Source organism: Homo sapiens, chromosome 1, assembly GCF_000001405.40.
Source record: "Homo sapiens chromosome 1, GRCh38.p14 Primary Assembly".
Taxonomy (NCBI): domain Eukaryota; kingdom Metazoa; phylum Chordata; class Mammalia; order Primates; family Hominidae; genus Homo; species Homo sapiens.
The window spans coordinates 159,774,444-159,793,253 of NC_000001.11; the positions used below are offsets into that span (position 1 = coordinate 159,774,444).

The following is an 18,810-nucleotide window of genomic DNA, read 5'->3' on the forward strand; positions in this document are numbered from 1 at the left end:
AAGCTACAGGGAGGCTAGAGACATTTAAATTGGAGGATAATGACTGGGGCACTTTTTGCCTTGCCTGGAAACTAACGTAAAGGTAGGTAGAGTAGGAAGCAATGTTTCAAGCATTCCTCTAGAAAGGAAATCTGGAAACCAAGCCCTTCCTTGGAACAAAAAACAGGAAAGGTACATGTACATTAAGCCTGTTTTTCTTGGACATCTTTCTAACCCGTAGATAAAGCCAATGTGTTGTTCTAATCCAGGATTCTTAGGTGGTTCTAATTGACCTCAAGTTTTCACCCAGGCCAGTTAGGCCCCTTTGAGGCCTCTCCCTCTGCTGATCAGCTCCTCCACCCATATCCCTGCTCAGCTAAAACTTCTCAGCTCCAGAGAAGAGACACCTGGAGATCAACTCACTACCTCTGTGACCAGACCACTTTCTGGATGCTGCCGATGACCAAAGGAAAAACAGAGCTGCAGGACAAACAAGTCTTACACCAGGGCTTCTTAGTCATAGGTGTGCTTATGAGCCACCTGAGGATCTCACAGGTCGGGGGGCCTGAGATTCCGCATCTATCACAGGCTCCCATGTGACATCAACTGTGGATCACACCTTGAGAAGCACTGGTCTAAAGGTGGTGGAGGGAGCAGCCAGGAGTTTAGAAGGTGCCAAAACGAAACCAGATGCTGACAGTTTGTGAGTTCCATTGGTTCATCATATTTGTTGCATCTACACTGGAAAATGAACCTATGCGGCCTATAGTTTTAGAGACCGAAAAACTTAAAACAAAGGGGAAAGAAAAAAAGCAATACACCAGTTTAGAAACTCCAAAGGTTTAGTGCTGTGATGAGCATATTAAAGATAAGAAAATAAAGTAAATAAAGGCAACTATATTGGTTTTCTATTGCTGCATAACAAATTGCCACAAACATAATGGCTAAAGAAACACCATTTATGATGTCAGTTCTGTAGGTCAGAAGTTGGCCACAGGTTAGCTGAACCTAAGCTCAGGGTCTCCTCAGGCTGATATCAAAGTGCCAGCCAGGCTATGGCTCAGCTGAGGCTCGAGGCAGCGTAAACAGAAGAAGTGAGAGAGTCCACCAACATGGTTTTGATCACAGAAGTGCCTCTTCCCTAACTGAATGCTCCCTCTTGATTCCACTCTCACCTGCCTTTGTTGAATGGCTTTTCAAAAACCAAAGCCTAGTCCCCACCTCCCTCCCCATCTCCAGCTCCCATGATGATAGCATCTGATGTGAGGCAGCATTCCCAACACCCCAACTTAAACTTTTAATGTGCTCCTGGGATGATCTAAAAAAAAAGAAAAAAACACCATAATTTTAAATGCCATAAAGGCAATTGACTTGTCAAAAGTACAAGAAATCAACTAGTAAATTGGGAGATTTCAGTTATGGTATGTTCTGCAACAGTATACGAATCACAAATTTTTCAACAAGACAAAAAAAAGAGAAACAAGGAAAAGCTATCAGTGCCATCTTGTGGAAAGACCTATATTAAAATGTCCAAGGTAATCTGACCACACCCCAGACCATTTCAGCGCCTCTACACCCAAAGCTGACACACATCCAACTGACACCAGGGTAGCTTCACTGTTTGTTTGCAGGTAATGGTTCTGGTAGAGGTTCCATTTTAATTGCTTGTTTCTTGTGCCATGACCAATCATTAAATAATTTGTATATCATCTCTAACCATACAAATACCACAGCAACCTATACCTCCAACACCACACACACACAAAACTCATGCCCAGACTACTCTGGTTGGTTCCCCCACAGACAGCATGGTTCTCCAAATATGGAAAATTTGCATTGATCTATCACAACATTCCTGCATACACACACTTAGACCACAACTGCTTACAGTATAATTCTTTCTTTTTGAATTAACCTTTGTTTTAATTTTATTTTATTTCTTGAGTTTATTGTAAGTTATTTTTCTTCTTTCCTTCAAACTGAATATTTTTATCTATATTAGTTACATATTACTGCATAATAAATTACCCAAAATTTGATGGCTTAAAAGAATAAATATTTATTATCTCACAGTTTCTGTAGGTAAGGAATTCAGGAGAGGCTTAGCTGGGTTGTTCTGGCTCAGGGAATCCATGAGGCTATAATCAAGATGTTGGGTAAATCATCTAAAGTCTTCATGGGCTGGAGAATTCACTGCAACAGTAGTGAGCCACTGACTTGATGGTGGGTAGGAGGCTTCAGTTCCTCACCACATGGATCTCTCCACACAGCTGCTTGAGAGTTCTCACAACATGGCAGCTGGCTTCTTCCCAAAGCTTCCCATGGCAGGCCTTCTTTCCAAGACAGAACAAGGCAAAAATTAAGTATTTCATGATGCAGCCTAGGAAGTCACACACCACCAGTTACACAATATCTTACTGGTTGCAAAAATCAGCCCTATCAATGTGGAAAAGCACTACACAGGCATGAAATGGCTCATTGGGTACCATCTTGGAAGCTAGCTGCCATACCATTTCTTCTTAGGTTCAGTTTCCAGATTATCAGATCTTAGGTGTGAAGTGTGTTTAGACATTAAAAAATCAGAACACTGAGGACACTGAGAATTCTGACTGTAGTCCAAGGGCCACAGGAACCTGAACCCAAGCAATCCTTTGCATTGGTGGAACACAGGGACCTACCTGGAGGAAGAAATTCTCTGACTCCAATTGCACCCCTAATTGCCACTAGCATCAAGCCAAACAGGGGACTGGGGCCTCAATATGAACAAGAACTAAGTCAAAACATTCTTATCAGCTGGAAAAAGGGAAGCTGAGATGCCCTAAAAAATGTTCTGTTAAGCCTTATTTTTTACTTTTAAGTTCAGGGGTACATGTGAAGAATGTGCAGGTTTGTTACATACGTAAAAGTGTGCCATGGTGGTTTGCTGCACAGATCATCCCATCACCTAGGTTTTAAGCCCAGCATCCATTAGCTATTCTTCCTGATGTTCTCCCTCCCCAAGTCCCCACCCCAGACAGGCCCCAGCATTTGTTGTTCCCCATCCCCATGTGTCCATGTGTTCTCATCATTCAGCTCCCACTTGTAAGTAAGAATATGCAGTGTTTGGTTTTCTGTTCCTGTGTTAGTTTGCTGAGAATAATGGCTTCCAGTTCCATCCATGTCCCTGCAAGGGAATGATCTCATTGCTTTTTATGGCTGTATCATATTCCATGGTGTATATGTACCACATTTTCTTTATCACTGATGGACATTTAGGTTGATTCCATGTCTTTGCTATTGCGAATGTGCTGCAATAAGCATATGGTGCATGTATCTTTATAAAAGAATGACTTGTATTCCTTTGGGTATATACCCAGTAATGGGATTGCTGGGTCTGCTGAGCTTTTCATTGGACAGTAGACAAAATGGAAAGAAAAATCCCTCTCTTCATAAGACATTTCTGGTAGTTCCAATTCAAGCTTATCTTTCCCCCACTGACTTCTTTTGCACTTGTTTTTACTGCACAATTAGCTTTTTAATATGTATTATCTGATTGTCTTTGATGAGCAATTTAGTACTTTATTATATGTCCTGAGAATAATTACATCAGAGTCTAAATCCCCCGCAAGGATGTTGTAAATTCCTTGAAGTCAGGGAAATTTCTTAAGCTTACTACTCAGCCCACCATCAGTGTCAATAGATTGTTCTCCAGGAACACGGCCCCTCCAAAGCACTCAAATACACAAGCCATCACACACATGCACACTACAAGAGCAGTGCTCTATAAAGAACAAGCTTTATTTGTCCCATTTCACAAAAATAGTAATTAGACATAGCCAAGATCATACTGACACAGCCATTCTTTATTTAAAAGCACAGTCAAGTAAAAAATACACTTCAAAGAGATACTACCCAATACTCAACACAGTCCTCAAACTTGTGCATTTAAAAAGAATTACAAATACACATTGCCACATGGTCCGACAGACTCACATTCACTCCTAGAAATGTACCTTCACGGTCTTGCCAATGCATTCTTCTTATTAATTTCCCATTCATTTGTTTACTTAACATTTTGAGCCCTGTGGCTCAGGCTCCATATTAGATGTGTGGAATTCAAAAACGGAACAACGCATTCTTGCCTCCTCTGCAAACAAGTATCCTCAATCCAATGACATTACTATACTGAGAAGACATATTTATACAAGGTGAGATGGGAGAAAAAAAAAAAGCCTAAATCTTCCTGAGGGTCAGGTAACTCTGTACAGAGGAGAGAATAAAAGAAGGTCAGTATCATGTATGTGGGCAGACAAGAAGGTGGTTAGTTGCAGAAGTCCTGTTAATTGCAGAAGTCTGAGCCAGGAAACCATCAGAGAGGGTTTTTCCTTACAGTTTGAGGCCCCTTGGGCCCAAGACAAAACATCATATGGCACCCTTGACATATGGCACCCTTGACAAAGCTTAAGGCAGGGACCCTGGGCCCTTTCCACTCTGGGTCTGCTGGAAGGGAAGGGCAGAGCTTCCTAAAAAGGGAGCCAACTGGCCTCTCCACATGGAGGCCCTAATGGTTTGATGGATGCACTGCTAGCCCTGCAGAAACCCACAAGAGGGAGAGAATCATTGGTAGGGGACTCAGGGAAGAGGAAGATCTCGGTCTCCCAAAAAAATTTTCTCTTTCTGGAGAATATGGGCTTCGAGCTGGATATCAAGGAGGCAAAGAAGGAGCACATAGGAGGGTAGGGAGTGAAGTGGAAACTTCCCTGGTGAGTAGGGGAAGCAAAGAAAGGAGAACAAGGCAAAGGGACTAAGAAAAGATTAACTTACAAGAACAAATGCTAGAGTCTTGTCTCCAGAGGTAGTGCAACCAGAAATCCTGAAGAGCAGTTGAATTGAGAAGAGAAGTGGGAGGTCAGGGGGTTGGGGGAAGAGGTGACTGGTGGCTGAGAGGCCATGGCTGGGAAAGAGAGAAAGGAATAAACTGGGGAGGGCTGGTAACCTTGATAGGAATTTATGTAGGAAATGAGAGTGCAAACAGGAAGGGCTTAATGAGGGCTGTGATTGTCTGGAAGGAGAAAAAGGGGAGATTTGGCACCTCCTGGAACCTGGGGAAAGTAATTGTCTGGGTAAATGGTAAGTGTATTTCCCACAGGGTCAGAGCAGGCTTTGATCTTTAGGAGAAGACAAATTGCTTTCCATCTTGCTGAAGCCAAAGGCTTAAATGGTCAGACGTGTGTCATAGGTGGGTGCAAAGGGAAGGAAATATAATACATCCTCATGGCCAAGTGCCCTGGGCTTGGATCACTGTGTCCTTGGCCAAGTTAACCAACTTCTTTAAGCTTCCAATGATTCATGTACAAAAAAAGATACAAAAATACCTTTCACATGTGGTTCTTCCAGAAAGCGCTTGGCACAGGGCCTGGTACATAAACAAATTCAATAAGGGTTAACTATTTTCATAATTACAGTTAGTCTGCATCGCTAGAAGCACATTATTCAAATGAGGATATGGACTGGTCAGATGACAGTGGAAACGGTGTTCAGATCTAGGGGCCCCCACCTAGTAAGAACAACACTAATCAACTCTAGCCTGCCCAGGGGACAGTGACCCAGAGAACTAGGAAACCTTGAAAAATGAAGAAATATGAAATACTAATAAAAATTAAGAAAACCCACAAGCGTTTAACCCAGATAATATTTGGGGACATGAGGGGGTTATGTGAAGAGAAAACAATGTTCCATTTAACTTTAGGAAATGGCGATATTATTAAAGATTTTGGAGGCATTAGTCATCATCCTTTGGTCAAGTTTATTAACCTCTCCAGTGCCTCTGTTTTTTCATCCATAAAATGGGATTCACTAGATCACCTATCTTATAAGATTACTGTGGCAATTAAATGAGTCAGTATGTGCTAAGTGCTTAGAAGACTATCTAGCACATAATAAATGCTCAATAAGTCCTGAGGAGCAACTGGATTGACAGGAGAAGTTGGTGCTGGTTATTATTATTACTATAATTATTACCCTGGGTAAGTTTTTAATAGTTCCAGCAATGAAAAAATGAGAATAGCCTCCTTGCAGCAGTAATTCCCTCTTACTGGAACAGTTCAAAAAGTCGCTGATAACGACCAGTCAATCATTAGAGAGGAGACTCCTCGTCCTGGGAGAAAGCCGATTTGTCATCTCTTAAACCCCAGGGCATCCAGCGTGAAGGAGGTAGAACTAGGCCGGCCCGCGAGGAGGCAGGGGCAGGCGCCAGTGACGCAATGACTGCAACATGCCGCCAGGGTGCAGCAGAGCCCGACCCCGGGTTGTTCCATCCGCAGCAAACAATTCCTAACTCGCTCCAGGTCTTCCTTCTTAGCTGAGTGGGTTGAACCCCGTGGAAGTAACCCCCCGCCCATTATGATGATCCAGCCAATCACCGCGTGATCTGCTCGGACGGGGCGGGATCGCGGCGCTTCCCTCGGTCGCTCAGAGACTGGGTTCCGCGTTCCAGCCCCGCCCCAGGTTCTGGGCCAATCCCCGCGGCTGGGCAGAGCGACCCGAGGGCGGCGCCCTGCAGACCACGTGGCCCGGGAGGCGCCGAGGCCAGGTAGGTGGTGAGTTACTTGGCTCGGAGCGGGCGAGGGGACGCGTGGGCGGAGCGGGGCTGGCCAGCCTCGGCCCCCATGACCCGCTGTCCTGTGCCCTTTCCCAGCGATGGGCGTGCAGCCCCCCAACTTCTCCTGGGTGCTTCCGGGCCGGCTGGCGGGACTGGCGCTGCCGCGGCTCCCCGCCCACTACCAGTTCCTGTTGGACCTGGGCGTGCGGCACCTGGTGTCCCTGACGGAGCGCGGGCCCCCTCACAGCGACAGCTGCCCCGGCCTCACCCTGCACCGCCTGCGCATCCCCGACTTCTGCCCGCCGGCCCCCGACCAGATCGACCGCTTCGTGCAGATCGTGGACGAGGCCAACGCACGGGGAGAGGTCAGCGGGCGGGGTCAGCGCAGGGAGGGAGGGGCCTGGAAGGTCAGCGGGGGACACGGGCGGAGCTGGGGAGACCGGGCCTGGGATAACTTAACTGGGCTCGGGGAGGCAGACAGTAGGGCCGGGAGACTGGGAAGCCAGTGCGGGGGAGGGAAGCGCTAAACGGAAGGAACTAAAGAGAGGGCGAAGCAGTGCGAACTGGGCTTGAGGAGAGGCAGTGAAAACCAGCTAATACTGTGAGTTGTGAAGGAGAAGGGTGTGGACAGACACCTGGGAGAGGTGGGGGTTGAAGTCAGGTGGAGGCTGTTTACCATTTTCTAGAGTAAAGCTGTCCAAATATAATGGAACCTAAGTGGCTCCATGTAATGTTAATTTTTCTAGCAACGGCATTCTTAAAAAGCAGGGAAGCAGATAAAATTAACTTTGGTGATCTTAATGAGATATTTTCATTCTTTTTTCTACTACCTCTTCATACCCTGTTGCGTTTTTCACACTACATCTCAGTTTGGACTAGCCACATTTCGAGTACAGTAGCCACAGTAGCCGTGGCTACTGTCTTCTGTATTGAACACCACAGGTGGAGGGCTGTGTAGAGGTGGACAGCTCTTGAACCAGCCAGTGCAGAGGCCTCCTAGCCACCTAGTGCAGGGACAGCCCTCCCTGACTTTGCTGCAGAGCCCTGGACCTGGCACAGAAGAAGGAGCTGTGGGGAGAACCAAGTGAGGGGCAGGAAACAGTTGTGGGTGGGGGAGTTGAGTGGCACCCATCGAGCCCCCTCTTCGTAGGCTGTGGGAGTGCACTGTGCTCTGGGCTTTGGCCGCACTGGCACCATGCTGGCCTGTTACCTGGTGAAGGAGCGGGGCTTGGCTGCAGGAGATGCCATTGCTGAAATCCGACGACTACGACCCGGCTCCATCGAGACCTATGAGCAGGAGAAAGCAGTCTTCCAGTTCTACCAGCGAACGAAATAAGGGGCCTTAGTACCCTTCTACCAGGCCCTCACTCCCCTTCCCCATGTTGTCGATGGGGCCAGAGATGAAGGGAAGTGGACTAAAGTATTAAACCCTCTAGCTCCCATTGGCTGAAGACACTGAAGTAGCCCACCCCTGCAGGCAGGTCCTGATTGAAGGGGAGGCTTGTACTGCTTTGTTGAATAAATGAGTTTTACGAACCAGGGCACGTTGCATGGTACTTTATAAAGCATTCCCACACATTAACTTACTTCAGCCTCACTGTAGCCCTGTGATACAGGAAAGACAGATGGGCCATCTCTGTTCTTTGGATGAGGTGGGCAAAGCTCAGAGAGGCCCATCTTCAACACTTCTAGAAAGTGGAAGGATGGGCCAGAACAGCAACACACGTCTTCAATCCCTTGAAGATGCTGAAATGCTATGTATCTGTTCCCTGACAATATTTGATGTGTTTTCTGGGGGAGCTAGTCAATGAAAAGGATTCAGGTCCAGAATAGCCTGGCCTCCTGGCATTCCCAGGTCTCTGATGCTCACAGGCCAGGAGGCCCCTCCGTGTAGGCCCACCTGCTGCACACGTGTCACCCTTGTTTATCTGGGGGTAGAGACAGCCTGGATGTCACACTCACAGATAACCACCATCTCCACCTCCACAGGGCTGGTCACCTCTTACCAACCTCAGGTGCTGCTCAGCTCATCTGGGCTCTCTGGCTCATTCTGCTGCCCCACAACCTCAGGCCAAAGGACCTGAGAACAGAGCCAATCTAGGCAGTTATGCAGAGCAGATATTTAACAATTAAATGAAGAGTTCCAGGGCTCTAAATCTTGGCCATGTTTCTCAGATGTTATCTCCAGTTATCCCCTATTGGACCCCATTCTGCCCCCTTGTTGGGCCCTGTTTTGCCAGCACCACTACACTTTTGACTTATGAGAAATGGGAAGAATGGCATATATCCGCCCAATGGACTCTTTACTGTAGGTCTGCCTGTGGTCTTTTCTGCAATAGCAGGCTGAATAAGATAGAAATTCACCATAAAATATGTGAGTTCCTGTACGTACCTGTATGAGTTCTGTTAGATCTGGAGGCCGCACAGTGGAATGAGACATAATTCCTGCTCTCAGGAGCTCAGCCTGCTGGAGAAGATGGGCACAGATAGAGTCCACCACAGACAATGGATGCTATTGTAGACATGCATTCCAGTTCCAGTGGAGACATAGAAGAGTGGGGAGTCAAGGGTTCCCCTGTAGATCTCATCTTTTGTATCATAGACCAGAGACAGGCCTAGCCAACTGGTCCTCCTTTCTGCTGCTTTCCCCCTTCCACCACTAACCACCCAGTTCATCCCTGTCCAACTCAACCTTAAACAAGAGATATCAGCTGAAGTCTTGCCAATCTAAGGCCATAAGATGCCCTCTCCCCAGTTTAACTTTATTTGTCAAATCTGAGTGATCAGTTCCTTCAAGCTTAGTCTCCACCTAGCCTACTCAAGTGAGGATGTCTCCCAAAGAGAAGAAACCCACACATTCCAGGCATTCCAGCTGCAACAGAGGAATGAGAATGCAAATAGAGGATGCACTGAAACCCTTACCCTCCTGTCACCAAAAGTTCTGTCTACCCTGCTCTCCCCCATCCACCCCTCCCCCAATAGTATGGCCCCATTCTGTTTCTGATGCAAACCAGAACATCTTCCAAAGGGGTGTGTGTGTATTTTCATGTGAAGGGAGTAGGGCATGAAGGGTGTGAATGGGCCACTTCCTGAACCTCTCCCCTCCAGTCGGAGGGCTTACCAGGATGGAGAGAGAGAGAGAGAGGTGTGAGGCATGAAGCTTCCCCAAGTTCGTGTCTCCACTCTGATCCTCACCTGCTAGGCCATACAACCAATCCTTGCCCTTTCTGCCTCTGTTCCTGTGTCACTCCATCCTCCCCACATCTCTGCACTGTGGAAGAGGAATATGCCCTTCCCTTCCTCCCAAGGCTCCTGCAAGGGAAACAAAATTTTGCTAACCCCATTAAAGCCCTGTGTACTGCCTCCATCCCCATAATTTAAGCAAGTCTCCTCTGCCTCAAGAGTTCCTTAGGGAAATACACGTATAATTAAGTGCTTAAGGAAACTGCTTTTTAAATAATAAGAGTTGGCTTGAAATGAAAAACTCTGCCCTTATCCTTCCATCTACCTGGTGGGTTAGCCTGTGGCTTCCTTTGGGCTCGTTTCCACTCCCAGTTGTTTTTGTCTTCTCACCAAGCCCTCTTATGTCTATGGCTACCAATAAGGGGTAACAGACGAGCCATGTCCCTTCCCTTTCTACGCTGAGATAGATGATCTGTGCCACCATCTAAAAAGAACATTCGCCTCAAACCAGGATATCTCAACGATTGGCGTTTGAAAGTGGGTGATTCTTTGTTGTTGGGGCTGTCTGTGCATTGTTGGATCTTTAGCAGTTTGCCCGGCCTCTATTCACTAGATGCCAGTAGGATACCCCTCCTCCCCCCAGTTGTGACAACAAAAATGTCTCTAGACATTGCCAAATGTTCCCTGGGGGAGCAAAATCAGCCTCAGCTGAGAACTGCATGAGACCAACAAGCACTGGATGCAGTCATTGGCTTTCATTTCCTCTGGGAGTGGAGGTGGGAACATACTTGGTAATGTCTCCTGTGGATGCACACATCTTAATGGGACAGAAAGGACCAACTCAAACCTCCTACCTTTTCAAGCAATGTCTGGTAGCCATCCCTGGTCCGTCAGCCTTTTTCCTGGCTGGTTTCCCAAGACAGTGATAGACACCGCTAACTTTCCATATTCAGGAGACTTTGATTCTCAATGAGCTGCTGATGGGCACAGCTGCAGTAACATCTACTCCCACCCCCATTTTTTTTTACGTTTAATTCATGTTTATTCTCTGGTACGTGATCAGAGTTCTCTGGTGAACGGAGGCTTCTCTATCTGGAAAACATTCCTTCATATCATTGGGGCTCTGCAGTAGTCACCTCTTGGGTTCCCCTTTCAGAAAATTATCCAGTTGCAGAAACAACTGGAAGCAAGTCAGAAGGAGCACCAGCCTTAAACCTTAACCTTAACAAGCACCTTCTCTGAGAAGATTCCTCCTCATCCTTCCCTGACTGGGGCCCTTTTGCTCTCTGGGTTCTGGATTCCATGACTGCTTCATAAGCCATGTATCCCAACATAGGTGTCCTGCTCTAGAGAGGACTGGAGTGGGGAAATAGGCCACTGAGGCCTATTTCCTGCATACACTGCATACACTGAGGCTGGCACACACCTCCCTTGGAGCCATACTTGGTCATCACCCTTACATCCTGACCCATTCATAACACCTGGGGCTCCTGTCCACAGGAGGCTCATCACTGCTCTTCCTCTGGCTGAGGAGGTCCCACCTGCCCCGCATTATCCCCAAGACCTAGTCTTCCCGGGGCAATGGTGAGCACATTACCTGGGGCAGAGATTTGATCTAAACCATAAACCATTTCCCAGAATGAACTGCACCCGTGTGCCAAGCTTCAAATCAAATGTTCTGCTGTCTGTATCCTGCCATTCTTTCTGAGAATTTGGTGTCACAGGATTGCTTTGTCACAAAACAATGTCAATTACCACAAATGCATTTTGCATTTTGTCATGACCGTACTTTTCTTACTTATAGGATCATAATTGCCATCATTTACAAAGTGCTTACCATGTAGCAGGTGTTTTACATACATTGTGTTATATTATTTTATCCTTACAACTCTGCAAGTCATGTATTTCCCCCTTTTTATAGATGAAGGGACTGAGATTTAGAGAGATAAATAACATGCCCTAAGCCACTCACTGTTGATGGAGCTGAGATTCAAACTCAAGTTGTAACTTCAGAGCTCATGTTTCTTTGGCCAGGCATCCCACTTGCCAAGACTTTTCCTGGCTTCAGCCCATAAAGGCATCTACCTTCATGATTAGAGCTTGGCCTCATGGGCCGTCTCATCAACATGGCTTCCAGTGACCACCCTTTTTATTCTCTTAGGAAGCCAAAGAACAACGCTGCATCTGACACTCACTTCAATAGCACCTGAATTATGTGCTTCTCCTTAAAATGTGGCCCAGTGACATTTTGGGCTGGATGATAAAAAATAAAAATAAATTAAAAATGTGGCCCGAGTATTTAAGAGCAAAATATTGACACTGATTTATCAGGGTGGTTCTCTCACATCCACTATTATCTAATTCAAAGCAAACAGATATCCTTATCTGGCATGACAGTCTTAAGGCCTGTGTGTCTGGTATCAAGCCCTCAAAAATGTCTTTTTATGTCTGATGATTTACTGAAAACCCTAATACCCTTTCTGTTTTCTTGTTGCTTGAGCCCTTAATGCGTGCCAGGCACTGTGCCAAATGCTTTACAGACGTTATCTCATTCCATCCTCAAAAAAGAAAAGAAAAGAAAAAACAGAACAAAACAGAAAATACCCTGTGAACAAAGCATTACAATAACCAGTGCACAGATGGATAAACTGACCCAGAGAGTTTAGGTGATCTGCCCACAGTCACCGAGTTGAGCAGGATTCAAACTTTGGGCTGTCTAGCTGTAAACCGCCGGTTGCCTTCACTCTTGGGAGGAGAGAGAATAGACTTTGTTGTAATTAGAAAATATATAACAGCATCTCGTATTCCCCAGAATGGAGTCATCTGGACTCACAGGGCCATCAGTGGAGCTCTCCAATCACACAGCTTCCCCAGCACTGCTGCTCAATGTTCAGTGGCATAACTCTGACTTGGGAGCGTGCAGGCTGCCAGCACAGTCATCATCTCTAACAGGCTTCTGCCTCAAGCCTCCAACACCATCAAAAATATAATCCCCTGTTGACTTAGAAATAAATTACATAAGCACTTCTTCCATTACTTTAAAATTTTTCTCTGGCTATTATGGATTCGAGGCATGCTCTTGAGAAGTCAGCTTGTCCAAGCAAGCAGAAATTTAAGAAACACTTTGGTGCATGTCCATGCCTGAAATTGATGACTTATTTGCAACCTTGATAACAGAGTTTCTTGTGCCAATAAATTGCTTAAATTGCTTTGACAACTCTTTCACCCTATTTTTCCACTGACTTACTCTGTCACCACAGATATATAATCATGAAATAAATTAGTGATGTTTTCAATGTGTGGCATTCAGTATGGCAAACAGTTCTGGGATTATTTCCCTGCTAGCTTTTGTCAACAAAAAGAGTCAAACTCTAAAATATTTTAAGAGATTTACTCTGAGTCAAATATGAGTGACCATGGCCCGTGACACAGCCCTCAGGAGATCCTGAGAACATGTGCCCAAGGCGGTCAGGGTACAGCTTGGTTTTATACATTTTAGGGAGGCACAAGACATCAATCATCAAATGCATTTAAGAAATACATTGATTTGGTTCAGAAAGGTGGGACAACTCAAAGCAGGTGGGGAGGAGGCTTCCAGGCTACAGGTAAATTTAAACATTTTCTGATTGACAATTGGTTGAGTTTGTCTAAAGACCTGGGATCAATGGAAAGGAAATGTTCAGGTTAAGATAAAAGATTGTGGACCGGGCACAGTGGCTCACGCCTGTAATCCAGCACTTTGGGAGACCAAGGTGGGCGGATCACGAGGTCAGGAGTTGAAGACCAGCCTGGCCAACATGGCGAAACCCCGTCTCTACTAAAAATACAAAAATTAGCTGGGCGTGGTGGCATGTGCCTGTTATCCCAACTACTCGGGAGGCTGAGGCAGGAGAATTGTTTGAACATGGGAGGTGGAGGTTGCAGTGAACAGAGATGGCACCATTGCACTGCAGCCTGGGCAACAGGGTGAGACTCCGTCTCAGAAAAAAAAAAAAAAAGATAAAAGATTGTGGATACTAAGGTTCTTTTGAAATCTTATAGTGGCTGCTCTTAGAGATAATAGATGACAAATGGTTCCTATTCAGGCCTTTAAAACGTACTAGATTCTTACTTAATCTCTTCAGGATTGGGGGGCCTGGAAGAAAAAGATCTAGCTGTGTTAATAGAGATTCTTTACAGATGCACACGTCCCCCCACAAAGGACAGCTTTGCAAGACCATTTCAAAATATGGCAAAGAAACATGCTTTTGGGGTAAAATAGTTTGACCTTCTTCTTTGTCACATCATGTTATGCCAGAGTCACATTGGAAAGTAAGTCACAATATATAGGGTTAAATATAACCCATCTGATGAGAATTTGTGGTTTGAAGGTCATGAGTCCCCAGGCCCCTTAGATAGGAATTTGGGCAAGATAAAAAAAAATCAGAGCTCAGTCCTCACTTTTTAAATTATTATTGTTTTTATTTTTCTTTTTTGAGATGAAGTCTCACCCTGTCGCCCAGGCCGGAGTGCAGTGGCACAATCTTGGCTCACTGCAACATCCGCCTCCTGGGTTCAAGTGATTCTCCTGGCTCAGCCTCCCGAGTAGCTGGGACTACAGGCACCCACCACCACGCCCAGCTAATTTTTTGTATTTTTAGTAGAGATGGGGTTTCACCGTGTTAGCCAGGATGATCTTGATCTCCTGACCTCATGATCCGCCTGCCTCAGCCTCCCAAAGTGCTGGGATTACAGGCGTGAACCACCGCACCTGGCCAGTCCTCACTTTTACAGTAAACACACCAATGAATCTTCTTTAATAATATACATTGAGCGTTAGCGACTCTACTCCAAACTCAAAGGGACCCCATGGGAAACATTAATCCATGCACCATCCCACAGGTGACACCACTTATCTTCTTCACTAGATTTTGTGTGCCCTTGGGCTCCCCCACCCCAGTGAAATTCACTGATTTGCATGTTTTCCATAGGTACACTTCCTGAGATCTAGCTGGGGCTGGGTGCAGCCTAGAGCCATGGAATAGAATTAAAGTAGCCACACTGGTATCAAGCCTACAGGCAGAACCATGCCGTTCTTGACCACGACCTGTAAGGACCTAAGGAATCCAATCATTTTCTTCATCTCCTTCCTCACCTTATATACTCCTCTCTCCCACAGGCTTTGTTCTCTTCTCTCTGCCTGTGTTGGTGGTCTGCAGAACCACTCTCAGGTTGGATGTTTTGCTAGAAGGACTCACAGAACTCAAAAAAGCTATTATACTCTTTTCTTTCCTCTCAAAATATTACCCTGTCTTGATATACTCTCGATTATAGTATATTACAATGAAAGGAAGTGGGTTAAAATCAACAAAAAAGAAACGTACGGGCTGGGTACAGTGGCTCACACCTGTAATCCCAGCACTTTGGGAGGCTGAGGCAGGTGGATCACGAGGTCAGGAGATCGAGACCATCCTGGCTAACACGGTGAAACCCCATCTCTACTAAAAATATAAAAACATTAGCCAGGGTGGTGGCACATGCCTATAGTCCCAGCTACTCGGGAGGCTGAGGCAGGAGAATCTCTTGAACCCCTGAGGTGGAGGTTGCAGTGAGCCAAGATCACACCACTGCACTACTGCCCTCCTGCCTGGGCGACAGAGCGAGACTCCGTCTCAAAAAAAGAAAGAAAGAAAGGTACATACAGCAGAGTTCAGAGGAAACTAGGCACAAGCCTCCAGTTGTCCTTTCCCAGTAAAGTCACATGGACAGTGCTTAATTCTTCCAGCAACAATGTATGACAGCACATACAAAATATGGCCAACCAAGGATGTTCACCTGAGCCTTGATGTCCAGCATTTGTTTTTAGTTTAGTTTAGTTTAGTTTATTTAGTTTAGTTTAGTTTAGTTTTGTTTTGTTGAGGTAGCAGGGGGTCAGTCACGTAGACATGCAGCATTCACATAACTCAGTCTCCAGCCCCAACACAGGTCAGACTGAAACAATATGGCCCGAAGCAGCCTAGGCATATACAAACAGGTGCTCACCATAAGTCACATTGTTAGCAGAAATCATCTGGCCTGGCTCATGGTCTCAGGTATACAAAGACACTCTTACCATGCAGGATATTTCAAGAATTCAGAGGTCTCAGAAGCTAATCAAGGGCAGTCTCAACGACCCTTGGAATGTGCAGGGTTTGGGCAATCCAGGCCTGCTGAGTTGATCTTTTACTGCACACTACTCCACACTACTTTTCCTGCACACTTTTTGTGCCCTCTCCACGTGACAGCCTGGGCAGGTGGGATGCTTTGCTCACCAGCTCTTTGCCTAGCTCCTAACTCCTACTGACCCCTACTGGTCATAGTTTAAACATCACTTTTTCAGGAAAAGGTTTCCAACAGGCCCCCATGTATTCCCAAAGTATCTGTCCTACCTTGAGGCCCTTTGCTCACCAATAATAATTCATTTAGTCATTTGATGTTACTCTGTATGCTGCTACAGTCTAAGGACCATGTGCATACCTCTAGCACAGTACAATGCCTGGCACATCAATATTCAATACTCAATAAACAGATGATGACTGACTAACTGATGTGCTGTCACTTACCTGGGTATCTGCACATAGGTGAATAAATGGGAAGAAAATAATAAATCTAGGGAATGGATAATCTAGTGGAGGAATACATGACATATGTACCCTCCTAAGTGTAAATGCAAAGTTGGATACAATTAGCCAATATGCAATGCATAAATACTTAAGCAATGGGATAGTGATTAAAGAGATAAGAGGAGTGAAATTCAAAAAGTTGAACCTTCAAAGAGATGTGGAGAGTGAGGTTGGATAGCCTAAGGGATACACAAATGCTGGATGTTATTAAAAATACCAATGTTATGTGTTGGGTGCAGAGTCCATATGGGGAGCCTTAGACAGAGGGAAGAATAGGACAAATAAGTATCAGTGAGGGGAGGAAATAATATGGGGAGTCAACTGGCATAGATGAAGTACAAACCTCATCCAGTGGGTAGCAGGAAATGCATGGTTAGGTGAAGATAGTGAAAGGGCAGCAAAAACTCATGCCAAAAAGGTTTGGATCATATCTGATAAACAGTGTGGAGTCACCACAGTTTTCTGAGTGGAGGACATGTCACTAGGTCCAATTTTCCTTAAATTACACTCTGACAGAATGGCTCCGTTACTTAGCCACAATATGGCGCATTATGATTTAACACTGCCAAAGAGAGACAGGGTCTCACGGCTGCTGATTTTTAAGGCTTTTCAGAAGATAAGAGTTAAGTAAGAACCTGCTTTTCCTGCTTGCTGGAAGTTAATGACTTCAATGCTTTGCAAAAGAAAGTAAAAGGGTTGTTAAGTCAGAGTGCTCACCCTCTGGACCTGCAGGTTATGATTTTTTAATGCTTTTCAAATGGGAAAGGATCTCAAGTGAGTGTCATCCCTGCCTGCTAGAAATATATGTCTTTCAGACGGCAGCTGGCACAGCCTCCTGCACACCCACTGCTCTGCCTGATTCACTGCATTCACATTTTAAATCTTGGAATGTTGCCATATCTCAGTCGACCCAATTCACAGGTCCACAGAGGCAGCGACCCCAGGTGCTGCAACTCAGTCCAGCATTTCTCCCTATTGTCCCAGGTCAGGGGGTGTCCTGAGCCTTCAAAATTTTTGCCTCAGTTACATCCCTACTCCCTCCCCTTCTCTGTCACTACGTCTGTCCACTTACCCTCAAACCTGTCTTCTCTTCTCCAAATAGTGATCAATTTGTCAGGTACTAAAAAGCCACACAGATCAGGTGGTATGTTTTTTCTGTAAACAGAGGGCATGATGTGTGCTGAGGAGGGGAGGCCTGGGGACTGCAAAGACAGCTCCCCACAGAGGAACACCCCAGGTCCTGGAAAAGTCAAGGCAGCTGAGTCTGGCAACTCAGGCATCTCCTGGTCAGCACTGTTCACCTGAAGACGTAGAAAATCACAGACCAGCACGGGCACCAGGGAGTCCTCTCCTGTCCCTCACAGGGGACTGCAGAGCCCAAGATGGGACTGGGAAGAGGGGACAAGCCTGGGTCTCCACATTCTGTTCTGCAATCCTGTGGTCCCAGATCTGCCCTGGCACCGTGCTCAAATTCCTCCAGGGACAAAGGAAGGCTGGGAAGACATGGAGGGTTCCAGGCCCATGCAGGGGTCAGGCCACACTCCTGAGAGGACCCTCAACCCACCCCAACCCACCTCTGCTCCTTTAATAACCTGGAGGCCACAAGGGAAGTCAATGGGATCCCCAGGTGAGGCAAATCAGAAAGAAACCAGGACACTACAAATAATAAGAATGACAACTATAAGATATGATTTTATATACAGCAGGATTGGACACACATACACCACCCTCCTCCCACACACACACACACATCCACACACACGGACACATTCACACACACCAAATCAAAAAATACTAAAGTTAGCAAGGCTAAGGGGAAACAGGAACTCCTAAACTGCTGAGGATATGTAAATCAGTATAGTAACCTTGGAGAGTGATGCGTTGATTAGTTCACCCCAAAATCCAGCCACTTCACTATACACATATATATATATATTTGCAGACAAATTCTACATTTGAGTAAGTTAGCGACATGTATGAGGCTCCTCACTTATTCACTAACGCAACGTGTGTTGTATTGAGCACCTACTATATGCCAGCCACAATTCTAGGGTCTAAAAATTGAGTGTTAACAAAAAGCAAAATGTCTGCCTCCATGGAGTGTATATACAGCTTTGTTGAAATAGCCAAAAACTGAAAACAACCTGAAAATATATTGCTAGGAGAATGGACAAACACTCAACTAGAGATACCAGTATCAAGACAGATGTATTTTGGAAACAGTGTTGGGTGGGTAGGAAAGAAACTTGCAGGTACAAAATACTATTTATATGAATAAAAACAAACAATACTATAAATTGTGTGTTGATACATACATATGTTACACAAATAAATGGTCTGGACACCTACCAAACTCAGAATCTTAGCTGCCTCCAAGAAAGGAGAGAAAAGACCAGGAAGGAGAACTTCAAGTTTAACTGAAATGTG

General features: G+C 45.6%; 1 protein-coding gene and 1 long non-coding RNA gene across 6 annotated transcripts, besides 3 other annotated features; one reads left to right on the forward strand and one right to left on the reverse strand.

The window, feature by feature from the left end:
• Positions 1 to 2,013: 2,013 nt before the first annotated feature.
• Positions 2,014 to 4,938, reverse strand: LOC101928264 (uncharacterized). 3 transcript variants are annotated; one of them, XR_922193.3, is made up of 3 exons: positions 4,783 to 4,938; positions 3,972 to 4,218; positions 2,014 to 2,312 (listed from the first exon to the last, which is right to left on the reverse strand). It is a non-coding gene; the product is annotated as an uncharacterized LOC101928264 (long non-coding RNA). The 3 variants fall into 3 exon arrangements; XR_007066674.1 differs by having other exon boundaries at positions 2,014 to 2,309; positions 3,972 to 4,938; XR_007066673.1 differs by having other exon boundaries at positions 3,972 to 4,938.
• Positions 6,454 to 6,843: a silencer, noted in NCBI's record as "silent region_1454". NCBI's record gives its function as "represses an Ori minimal core promoter by ATAC-STARR-seq in GM12878 lymphoblastoid cells {active_cell/tissue: GM12878}" and the evidence as "EXISTENCE:reporter gene assay evidence [ECO:0000049][PMID:35858748]".
• On the forward strand, positions 6,519 to 8,100 carry DUSP23 (dual specificity phosphatase 23). 3 transcript variants are annotated; one of them, NM_001319659.2, is made up of 3 exons: positions 6,519 to 6,557; positions 6,656 to 6,924; positions 7,710 to 8,100. In NM_001319659.2, exons 2-3 carry the CDS (start codon positions 6,658 to 6,660, stop codon positions 7,893 to 7,895), a joined length of 453 nt encoding a protein of 150 aa, NP_001306588.1. In that variant the 5' UTR covers positions 6,519 to 6,557; positions 6,656 to 6,657; the 3' UTR covers positions 7,896 to 8,100. The 3 variants fall into 3 exon arrangements, with proteins under 3 accessions (NP_001306588.1, NP_060293.2, NP_001306587.1); NM_017823.5 differs by having other exon boundaries at positions 6,519 to 6,550; NM_001319658.2 differs by having other exon boundaries at positions 6,519 to 6,924.
• Positions 6,835 to 7,411: an enhancer, noted in NCBI's record as "H3K27ac-H3K4me1 hESC enhancer chr1:159751068-159751644 (GRCh37/hg19 assembly coordinates)". NCBI's record gives its function as "activates a minimal SCP1, AML or CMV promoter by ChIP-STARR-seq in primed H9 embryonic stem cells {active_cell/tissue: H9 hESC(primed)}" and the evidence as "EXISTENCE:reporter gene assay evidence [ECO:0000049][PMID:30033119]".
• Positions 15,848 to 16,225: a transcriptional cis regulatory region, noted in NCBI's record as "candidate enhancer chr1.9322 targeted for multiplex CRISPR interference". NCBI's record gives its function as "positively regulates DUSP23 gene expression with high confidence in K562 cells {active_cell/tissue: K562}" and the evidence as "EXISTENCE:mutant phenotype evidence [ECO:0000015][PMID:30612741]".

What these genes read in the sequence shown, in the direction of transcription:
- DUSP23 (NM_001319658.2), top strand. Translation starts at nt 6,658, where the DNA reads ATGGGCGTGCAGCCCCCCAACTTCTCCTGGGTGCTTCCGGGCCGGCTG. An exon ending in AGGCCAACGCACGGGGAGAG is followed by an intron (nt 6,925 to 7,709) that starts GTCAGCGGGCGG and finishes CCCTCTTCGTAG; the next exon opens with GCTGTGGGAGTGCACTGTGC.